The sequence below is a fragment of the Homo sapiens genome, chromosome 17, assembly GCF_000001405.40.
Source record: "Homo sapiens chromosome 17, GRCh38.p14 Primary Assembly".
In the NCBI taxonomy this organism is placed as follows: Eukaryota; Metazoa; Chordata; class Mammalia; order Primates; family Hominidae; genus Homo; species Homo sapiens.
This window is the reverse complement of record NC_000017.11, coordinates 45,608,540-45,619,586: the sequence shown is the minus strand read 5'-3', so window position 1 is coordinate 45,619,586 and position 11,047 is coordinate 45,608,540. Positions and strand designations below refer to the sequence as shown.

General features: G+C 45.7%; 1 pseudogene, besides 1 other annotated feature; it reads right to left on the bottom strand.

The window, feature by feature from the left end:
* Positions 125–1,104: an enhancer, noted in NCBI's record as "H3K4me1 hESC enhancer chr17:43695849-43696828 (GRCh37/hg19 assembly coordinates)". NCBI's record gives its function as "activates a minimal SCP1, AML or CMV promoter by ChIP-STARR-seq in primed H9 embryonic stem cells {active_cell/tissue: H9 hESC(primed)}" and the evidence as "EXISTENCE:reporter gene assay evidence [ECO:0000049][PMID:30033119]".
* RPS26P8 (ribosomal protein S26 pseudogene 8) lies at positions 10,600–11,047 on the bottom strand (annotated as a pseudogene).

Here is an 11,047-nt window from a genome sequence, read left to right as displayed (position 1 = left end):
AAGATAATTGGGCAGGAAAATTGGCGCAACATGCAGATTTGGGGAGGAATCTTAGCTTTTAATATGTTCAGTTCCCGGTAACAGGGTTTTGTAAAACCCAGTGAAGGTGTCCCAGAGGCAACTGAAGTTATGGAACTTGAGAAAGGGTAGACAATCAGGACTAGAGAAGATGCAGGGTCCTCTGCCTAAAGATAGTGATCTATGACATGCTAAAGGATAAACTCCCAAAGAAGGGTAATAAGACACCCACAGTAAAAGGTAGGAGGACGAAAAAGAATGTCAGTGAGGTAAAAGAAACAATATTAAAGAGGCATGAAAATTAAGGGAGGAAGGGTCTGTGGAAAATAGAATAATAAAACTATGAGAGAGGCCGGGCACGGTGGCTCACACCTGTAATCCCAGCACTTTGGGAGGCCAAGGTGGGTGGATCACCTGAGGTCAGGAGTTCGAGACCAGCCTGCGCAGCATGGTGAAACCCGATCTCTAATAGAAATGCAAAAAAAAAATTAGCCAAGCGTGGTGGCGCGCCTCTGTAATCCCAGCTACTGGAAAGGCTGAGGTGGGAGAATTGCTTGAACCGGGAGGCGGAGGCTGCAGTGAGCCAAGATCGCGCCACTGCACTCCAGCCTGGGCGACAGAGCGAGACCCTGTTTCAAAAAAAAAAAAAAAAAAAAAAAACTGTGAGAGCCTCATAGGTCTTACCTCTTTACCTCTTTAGGCTCTGGTAACCATGGGACAATAAGAATGAAAGCCAAGGCCGGGCACGGTGGCTCACGCCTGTAATCCCAGCATTTTGGGAGGCCAAGGTGGGCGGATCACAAGGTCAGGAGATCAAGACCATCCTGGCCAACATGGTGAAACCACGGGCATGGTGGCGCATGCCTGTAATCCCAGCTACTCGGGAGGCTGAGGCAGGAGAATTGCTTGAACCAGGGAGTCAGAGGTTCCAGTGAGCCGATATCACGCCACTGCACTCCAGCCTGGATGACAGAGTGAGACTCCGACTCAAAAAAAAAAAAAAAAAACCAAAAAAAAAAAAAAAAAAAACCACCTTTATCGATTAAGAATCTTTTTTCTGAGTTTATTAATTCTATTTAAATCAACCCCAGAAAACACCTTCAACACAGCCTCTCATTTCATATCTGTAAAATGGGGCAAAAAAAATAGTTCCTACCCTTTAGAGTTGTTGTGAAGATTAAATTAGTGAATACATATGATGGATTTTTTTTCTTTTCTCTTTTTTTTGAGACACAGTCTCGCTCTGTCTCCCAGGCTGGAGTGCAGTGGCACTATCTCAGCTCACTGCAAGCTCCGCCTTCCGGGTTCACGCCATTCTCCTGTCTCAGCCTCCTGAGTAGCTGGGACTACAGGCGTCCGCCAGCATGCCCGACTAATTTTTTGTTATTTTTAGTAGATACGGGGTTTCACCGTGTTAGCCAGGATGGTCTCAATCTCCTGACCTCGTGATCCGCCCGACTTGGCCTCCCAAGTGCTGGGATTACAGGCATGAGCCATGGCGCCCGGCCTGTGTGATGGATTTTTTAAGAGCCTGACTGGCGGGGTGAGGCGGCTCATGACTGTAATCGCAGCACTTTGAGAGGCTGAGGCAGGTGAATCACTTGAAGCCAGGAGTTCGAGACCAGCCTGGGCAACAGGGCGAGACCTCGTCTCTACAAAAACACACACACAAAAATTAGCTGGGCATGATGGTGCATGCCTGTAGTCCCAGCTACTCAGGAGACTGAGGTGAGGGTCGCTTGAGCCTGGGAGGCAGAGGTTGCAGTCAGCCGAGATCTCACCACTGCATTTCAGCCTGGGTGACAGTGTAAGAACATGTCAAAAAACAAACAAACAAACAAAAACAACAACAACAAAAAAACGCACGAAAAAAACCACATAAGCTCCTTGAGGGCAGAAACTGTCCCCTAGTCTTCTATATTTTATTTCACACAATGTACAGAAGACTAAATGAATAATTGTTAGCTGGTTTTTTTTTTAAAAGGGGATAAGATCAGTTACAATGTCTTTTTCCTCAGTCAATCACATAAGTATCTAAAATGACATTCCAAAGTAAGGACAGGAGTTTAAATCCTGAACTATGGTATCTAAAGTAAACTTGAACTTTCCTTATTTTTAAAAAATTTTGGCCGGGCGCGGTGGCTCACGCCTGTAATCCCAGCACTTTGGGAGGCTGAGGCGGGCAGATCACAAGGTCAAGAGATCTAGACCATCCTTGCCAACATGGTGAAACCCCATCTCCACTAAAAATACAAAAATTAGCTGGGCGTGGTGGCACGGACCTGTAGTCCTAGCTACTCGGGAGGCTGAGGCAGGAGAACCGCTTGAACCCGGGAGGAGGAGACTGCAGTGAGCCGAGATCACGCCACTGCACTCCAGACTGGCGACAGACTGTCTCAAAAAAAAAAAAAAGAAAGAAAAAGAAAAAAGAAAAGAAAAAAATTCCATACATAGAATTCTGTGTGGCATTTTAGAGAAAATCATGGTGACTAGAGACACCAGGTGAAATTTTTTTTTTTTTTTTTTTGGTGACACAACCCCAGGAGATCCTGTGAACATGTGTCCCTTGACCAGGTGAATTTCAGGAGCTTGCACTAGTCCCAGGTTAGCTGGCACCAGGTTGGCCCTAGTTTGAGTGCCTTCCACATACCAGGTACTGTGTTGGAGAAGTACATCAAAAAGGAAAATCAAATTTCATCCTCAATAAGTAATCACAATACACTGTGATGAGAGTTAGGGTGAAGGAGGTTCAGGTTACCATGGGCTTATATTAGGAGGGCAAATTCTGTCTTCAAGTCTTTTTGCTTCAACAGTAGCGTTTAGATCTTGTGGGCTGGGCATGGTGGCTCTAGCCTGAAATCCCAGCACTTTGGGAGGGTGAAGTGGGCAGACTGCTTGAGCCCAGGAGTTGCAGATTAGCCTGGCAACATGGCGAAACCCCGTCTCTACAAAAAATACAAAAGTCAGCCAGGCATAGTGGTGCCTGCCTGTAGTTTCGGCTACTTGGGAGGCTGAGGTAGGAGGATCGCTTGACCCCAGGAGTTCAAGGCTGCAGTGAGCTACCATCGAGCCACTTCACTTCAGCCTGGGCCGCAGAATAAGACCCTGTCTGAAAAAAAAAATCTTGTGATATAATAACAGCTTGTGCACTCTTCGATAGCTCAGCTGGTAGAGCAGAGGGCTGTAGACTGCATAGATAATAATAACAGTTTGCGTTTTTGAGTCAAAGATGATACCCCAGAATCATTATCGAAAATAATGGTTGTTCCATTCACCTGTGCCTATGACTGTGAGCCACATTGTGACCAATCTGTGAGCAACATGGGTGGGAATGCAGTTTGGGGCCATGGAACTCACTTAACAGGAAGTTCCAATAGCAGTGGATTTACCATGTTGCAGCTGTAGGATCTTGGACAAATATTTAATGACCTCTGTCTCTCAGTTCTCTCAATAATAAAACATCCATCCGAGAGTTGCTGTAAAGGTTAACATAGGGGGAGTCTTGCAAATAGTAGGTGCTAAGATCCTGTCTTGAAAAAAAAAAGAAAAAAAAATATATATATATATATGAAGAGATGAGATCTTCAATTGTATAGACTGTCCCTGTACCCATTCATTTGCATTTCTTTTCCTTTACAATAATACATATCTATGATTTCCTTTTATTCCCACTGTCATCAATTTAGTTAGATTACTGGGCAGAGATCACCAGTGGGGCTAGAGTAAAATGAAAATAAATGTACATTGACTCTAGGTATTCCTAAGTAATAGCACAGTTTACTGTGTTCTCCCTCATAAATCCTGGTAGCTGAATGTTGCCTGCTTTTAGCAGTTACGTTTCTGCTCATCTCACCCTCAATGTTCATTAAGAAAATAGTTATTGAATGGCCAGGCTCACTGGCTCACGCCTGTAATAGATTACAGGCGTGAGCCACCGCACCCAGCCTTGGTTATCATATTTCTAATTTATAATAGTTTTCCTTGTTTTCTTATTGTTCATTTTTTATAGCATCCTGTTCTTATATTATGCATATATATCTTCAGGTCTCGCTGAAGAAATAAAGAGGTGTATGTGTATATGTGTGTGTGTATTATCTTTATTTTTATTTTTTGAGATGGAATCTTACTCTGTCGCCCAGGCTGTAGTGCAGTGGCGCTTTTGGGAGGCTGAGGTGGAAGGATCACTTAAGGCCAATATTTGGAGACCAGCCAGGGCAACATAACAAGACCCCCATCTCTACAAAAAAATTAAAAATTAGCTGGCCATGGTGGTGAGTGCCTGTAGTCTCAGCTACTTGGGAGGCTGAGGCAGGAGGATTGCTTGAGCCCAGGAGGTTGAGGGGGAGGTGAGCCATGATTGAGCCACTGCACTCCAGCCTAGGTGACAGAGTGAGACCCCTTCTCTAAAAAAAAAAGAGAGAGAGAGAGAAATAAAATAGTTATTGAGCACCTACTGTATGTCAGGTCCAAGACCCTAAAGATGTAAAGATGAATAAGGTGGTGACCCTGCCTTCCAGTTTCCACAGAGGTGGGGAATATGGATAAAAGCAGACAAAGCCATTGCCATGGGATAAGGGCAGAGAATAGCATGTGCAAATTATAGAAGGTGAGGGATAATATACCATTTTCCAGAAACTGATGGTTCAATGAGGCTAAAGCATGGAGTTCAAGAAAGGAAACCAGATGAGATTAACTGCAATGTGGTTCTCAAACTTAAATGTGCATAAAAACTGGCCTTGTTGGCTGGGCACAGTGACTCACACCGGTAATCCAAGCACTTTGGGAGGTCAAGGCGGGTGGATCGCTTGAGGTCAGGAGTTCGAAACTAGCCTGGCCAATGTGGTGAAACCCCATTTCTTTTTTTTTTCTTTTTCTTTCTTTTTTTTTTTTTTTTTTTTTTTTTTTTTGAGACAGAGTCTCGCTGTCGTCCAGGCTGGAGTGCAGTGGCGTGATCTCGGCTCACTGCAAGCTCCGCCTCCTGGGTTCACGCCATTCTCCTACCTCAGCCTCCCGAGTAGCTGGGACTACAGGCACCCGCTACCATGCCCGGCTAAATTTTTTGTATTTTTAGTAGAGACGGGGTTTCACCATGTTAGCCAGGATGGTCTCGATCTCCTGACCTCGTGATCCGTCCGCCTTGGCCTCCCAAAGTGCTAGGATTACAGGCGTGAGCCACCGCGCCCGGCCTGAAACCCCATTTCTACTAAAAATGCAAAAATTAGCTGGGTGTGGTGGTGCACACCTATAGTCCCAGCTGCTCAGGAGGTTGAGGCGGGAGAATCACTTCAACCTGGGAGGTGGAGATGGAGTAAGCCAAGATCAAGCCACTGCACTCCAGCCTGGGTGACACAGCGAGACTCTGTCTCCAAAAAACAAACAAACGAACAAAAAACTGGCCTTGTTTACATAGTCTCGCAAGCTCCAAGCCTAGAGATCTTGATGGAGCGGGTCAGAGTGCTGCTGCTCTTAGGGCTACACTCTGAGAACCACCGATGGAGAAGAAGGGCGGGGTCAACTTGCAGAGCTGTGCTGGGAGGTGTGTGCTGCAGCCTTGAGGAGGTGAAGAACCTTTGAGAGGTTTTAAGCCTGCAAGAGATGTGGTCACATTTACATTTTAGAAAAATCACCCTGTGTGCAATATGAAAAATGAAACAGAGAGGGCAAGACTGGAGTCAGGGAGAGCAGTTAGGAGGCTGCTGCAGAAACCCAGGCAAGAAATCATAAAGACCTGAAATAAAACAATGCCAGTGGGGAACGGGGAGGAGAGGCCAAATCCAAGGGGTATTTAGGAGCCAGAATTGAGAGGGTGTGATGAGTGTTGATGGGATACAGGACAGGATCCTGAGATGGCTTGCAGGTCTTCAGCTTTGAGTGACCCATGGAAGCGAAGGAAGATGGGAAGGAGGGTGCCTATCACACAGAGAGAATGAAGGTTTGAGAGGCAAGTGTAGCTTTTGACATTTTGCTTTTGAAATGTCTATGGGACATCAGAAATAATCTCAAAAGACCACAAGTCAGGCAGGGCGCGGTGGCTCACGCTTGTAATTCCAGCACTTTGGGAGGCCGAGGTGGGCAGATCACGAAGTCAGGAGCTCGAGACCAGCCTGGCCAACATGGTGAAACCCCGTCTCTACTAAAAATTCAAAAATTAGCTGGGCATGGTGGCGGGCACCTGTAATCCCAGCTACTTGGGAGGCTGAGGCAGGAGAATCACTTGAACCTGGGAGGCGGAGGTTGCAATGAGCTGGGATCGAGCCATCGCACTCCAGCCTGGGCAACAAGAGTAAAACTCTGCCTAAAAAAAAAAAAACCATGAGTCACTGGTTAACAGCCTGAGCAGCAGAAATCTCACAGTTCTGAGTCTGAATCCTATCTAGCCTGGCTCTGAAACTCACAATCTGGAGCTGGGGCTTGGTGCAGTGGCTCAGGCCTGTAATCCCAGCACTGTGGGAGGCTGAGGCAGGTGGATTGCTTGAAGCCAGGAGTTTGAGAGCAGCCTGGCCAACATGGTGAAACCCCATCTCTACTAAAAATACAGTTAGCCAGGCATGATGGTGTGCACCTGTAATCCCAGCTACTGGGGGGCTGAGGCACGACAATCGCTGGAGCCCAGGAGGCAGACGTTGCAGTGAGCCGAGATTGTGCCACTGCACTCCAGCCTGGGCAACACAGCAACACTGTCTAAAAAAAAAAAAAAAATGCTGGGCGCAGTGGCTTATGTCTGTAATCCCACTTTTAGAGGCTGAGGTGGGAGGATCACCTGAAGCCAGGAGCTCAAGACCAGCCTGGCCAACATGGTAAAACCCGCCATCCCCTCCCTGCCATGCCCCATCTCCCCCAACACTCCCCCACCCTGTCTCTACTAAAAATACAAAAATTAGCCGGGTGTGGTGGCACACACCTATAATCTCAGCTACATGGGAGGCTGAGGCATAAGAATTGCTTGAGCCCGGAAGGTGGAGGTTGCAGTGAGCCAAGATCGCACCACTGCACTCCAGCCTGGGTGACAGAGCAAGACTCTCTCTTAAAAAAAAAAAAAAAAAAAAAAAAAGAATTTTTTTTTTTAATATAGAGATGGGCTTTCTGTGTTTCCCAGGCTATACTCAAGCTCCTGGGCTCAAGCTATTCTCCTGCCTCTGCCTTCAACCAGCCTCAATCCTCCAATTTTCTTATTTTTTATATTTTTCAACACCTTTTAAATTCTACATTCTGGCCAGCTGCAGTGGCTCATGCCTATAATCCAGCACTTTGAGAGGTTGAGATATGAGACTTGCTTGAGGCCAGGAGTTTGAGGCTTGCAGTAAGCTAGAATGGCGCCACGGCACAGCAGCTTGGGAGACAGAGCAAGACCTTGTCTCAAAAGAAAAAGAATTTAAATACTACACTCTAGGAGATTTCTTCAACCTTCAAATTTTGTATTGAATTTTTAATTTTGGCTTTTATTTATTTATTTTTTTTTGAGACAGGTTCTCACTCTGTCACCCAGGTTGGAATGCGGTGGCTTGATCTCAGCTCACTGCAACCTCCGCCTCCTGGGTTCAAGTGATTCTCCTGCCTCAGCCTCCTGAGTAGCTGGGATTGCAGGCGTGGGCCACCATGCCCAGCTTATTTTTGTATTTTCAGTAGAGACGGGGTTTCACCATATTGGCCAGGTTGGTCTCAAACTCCTGGCCTCAAGTGATCCACACGCCTCAGCCTCCCAAGGTGCTGAGATTACAGGTGTGAGCCACTGCACCCAGCCTTGGCTATCATATTTCTAATTTATGATAGTTTTTCTTGCTTTCTTATTGTTCATTTTTTATAGCATCCTGTTCTTATGTTATGGATATATATCTTCAGGTCTCACTGAAGAAATAAAGAGGTGTATGTGTATATGTGTGTGTGTATTATTTTTATTTTTATTTTTTGAGACGGAGTCTCACTCTGTTGCCCAGGCTGGAGTGCAGTGGCACAATCCTGGCTGGCTGCAACCTCTGCTTCCCAGGTTCAGCTGATCCTCCCACCTCAATCTCCCAAGTAGCTGGGATTATAGGCACCTGTCACCATGCCCGGCTAATTTTTCTTTCTTTTTTTTTTTTTTTTTTTTTGAGATAGAGTCTCTGTTGCCCAGGATGGAGTGCAGTGGTGTGATCTCGGCTCACTGCAAGCTCCACCTCCTGGGTTCAAGAGATTCTCCTGCCTCAGCCTCCCAAGTAGCTGGGATTACAAGCGTGTGCCACCACACCCAGCTAATTTTTGTATTTTTTAGTAGAGATGGGGTTTCACCATGTTGTCCAGGCTGATCTCAAACTCCTGACCTCAAATGATCCACCTTCTTCAGCCTGCCAAAGTGCTGGGATTACATGCATGAGCCACTACACCAGCAAAATTTTTGTATTTTTAGTAGAGATAGGGTTTCGCCATATGTGTGTGTGTTTTAAGTTTTTCTGTTTCGTTTCTCTTGCATATATACCTAGGAATGGAATTACTGGGTCATATGGGAGCTCTGTGTTAAACACTTGTGTCATATCTAAGAAAACTTGCTAATCCAAAGGTCATAAAGATGTATGTCTATGTTTTCCTCTAAGGCCAACATGGTGAAACACCGTCTCTATTAAAAAAATACAAAAAACTGGGCTGGGCACGGTGGCTCATGCCTGTAATCCCAGCACTTTGGGAGGCCAAGGTGGGTGGATCACCTGTGGTCGGGAGTTCGAGGCCAGCCTGATCAACATGCAGAAACCCCGTCTCTACTAAAAATACAAAAAAATTAGCGGGGCATGGTGGCGCATGCCTGTAATCTCAGCTACTTGGGAGCTGAGGCAGGAGAATCGCTTGAACCCAGGAGGCAGAGGTTGCGGTGAGCCAAGATCGTGCCATTGCACTCCAGCCTGGGCAACAAGAGCAAAACTCGGTCTCAAAAAAAAAAAAAAAAAAAAAATTAGTTGGGCGTGGTGGCACGCACCTGTAGTCCCAGCTACTCCAGAGGCTGAGGCAGGAGAATGGCTTGAACCCAGGAGGTGGAGGTTGCAGTGAGCTGAGATCATGCCACTGCACTCCAGCCTGGCAACAGAGCAACAGAGCAAGACTCCATCTAAAAACAAAAAAAAGAGTTTTCTACTTTTCAGTCTAACAAATGTTTTATAAACAAAGGCTTTGTTATATTTTGAGTTAATTTTTATAGATAATATGAGGTGAGGGTTCAACTTCATTCTATTGTGTGTGGGTATCCAGTTGTCCCAGGACCATTGTTTGAAAAGACTTTTTTTCCTACACTTTCTCTCATTGAATTGTCTTGGCATATTTGTTAAAAATCAGTTGACCTTGGCTGGGCACCATGGTTCACACCTGTAATCCCAGTATTTTGGGAGGCCAAGGCAAGAAGACCATTTGAGCCCCAGAAGTTCAAAACCGGCCTGGGCAATATAGGCACACTCCATTTCTAAAAATAATAATTAAAAAGATTAGCTGGGCAAGCCAGACATGGTGGCTCACGCCTGTAATCCCAGCACTTTGGGAGGCCAATGCAGGTGGATCACCTGAGGTCAGAAGTTCGAGACCAGCCTGACCAACATGGAGAAACCCCATTTCTGCTAAAAATACAAAATTAGTCTGGTGTGGTGACTCATGCCTGTAATCCCAGCTACTAGGGAGGCTGAGGCAGAAGAATCGCTTGAACCCAGAAGGCGGAGGTTGTGGTGAGCCGAGATTGCGCCATTGCACTCCAGCCTGGGCAACAAGAACGAAACTCTGTCTCAAAAAAAAAAAAAAAAAGATTAGCTGGGCGTGGTGGCACATACCTGTGGTCCCAGTGACTTAGGAGGCTGAGGCAGGGGGATCGGGAGACGGAGGCTGCAGTGAGCCTTGATCACTGCACTCCAGCCTGGGTGACAGAGTGAGACCCTGTCTCAAAAAAGAAAAAAAATCAGTTGATCGTAATGTGGGCACTCATTTCTGGACTTTCAATTCTATTCCATTGATCTATATGTCAGTCCTTATGCCAGTGCCCAGGGGCTCAACTACTGGTACTTTGAATTAGATTTTGAATCAAGAAGCGTGAGTCTTCCAATTTTGTTCTTATTTTTCAAGATTGTTTTGTCTATTTGAAGTTCCTTACAATTTAATGTGAATTTTAGAATCAGCTTGTCCATTTTTGCAAAAAAGGTAGTTGGGATTTTGATAGAGATTGTGTTGAGTCTGTAGATCAATTTGGGAAGCATTGCTATGTGAAGAGTAGTAAGTCTTTCAATCCATGAACACACAATGTCTTTTCATGTATTTAAGTTTAATTTCTTTCAATAATGTTTTGTAGTTTGCACTTCCTTGGTTAAATTTATTCCTAAGTTTTTTTTTGGTGCCATTACAAATGGAATTGTTTTATTAATTTCATTTTTGGATTGTTCATTTCTGGTGTATAGAAATTCAACTGAGCCAGGTGTAGTGGTGCACCACCTGTAGTACCAGCTACTTGGGAGGCTGAGTCAGGAGGATTGCTTGCGGCCATGTTTGAGGCTATAGTGCATTATAATTGTGCCTTTAAATGATCACTGCATTCTAGCCTCGGCAACATAGTGCGGTCTTGTCTCTTTTTTTTTTTTTTTTTTAAGTACAATTTCCATTTTATTTTTCTCCAGAGAATAGCCTGTCTTCAGTCTTTAAGAACTCAGCTCCTTACATGGGCTTTGGTGGGGGACCTGGGGCAGCACCCGCAGGTCTAAATCGGGGTGGGGGTGTTCGGTCCTTGCGGGCTTCACGAGATCGATTCCTGACTACTTTGCTGTGAATTGCACAACTCACACAGTAATGTAGCTTCACATACAGTTTGGGAAGCACATAGGCATCGAAGACGCTCACTTCAGAAATGTCCCTGACTGCTGCGGCCTCCACTATGTTTCGAATGACGAATTTCTTAATGGCCTTGTCCTTGGGCACGCATCGGGCACAGTTAGTGCAGCGAATAGGCTGCACGTGGCCGCGGCCCTTTTTGGCACGACCATTGTTCCTTCTTTTCTTTGTCATCTTGGAGGCACGGACCGGAGAGAGGAGCGGT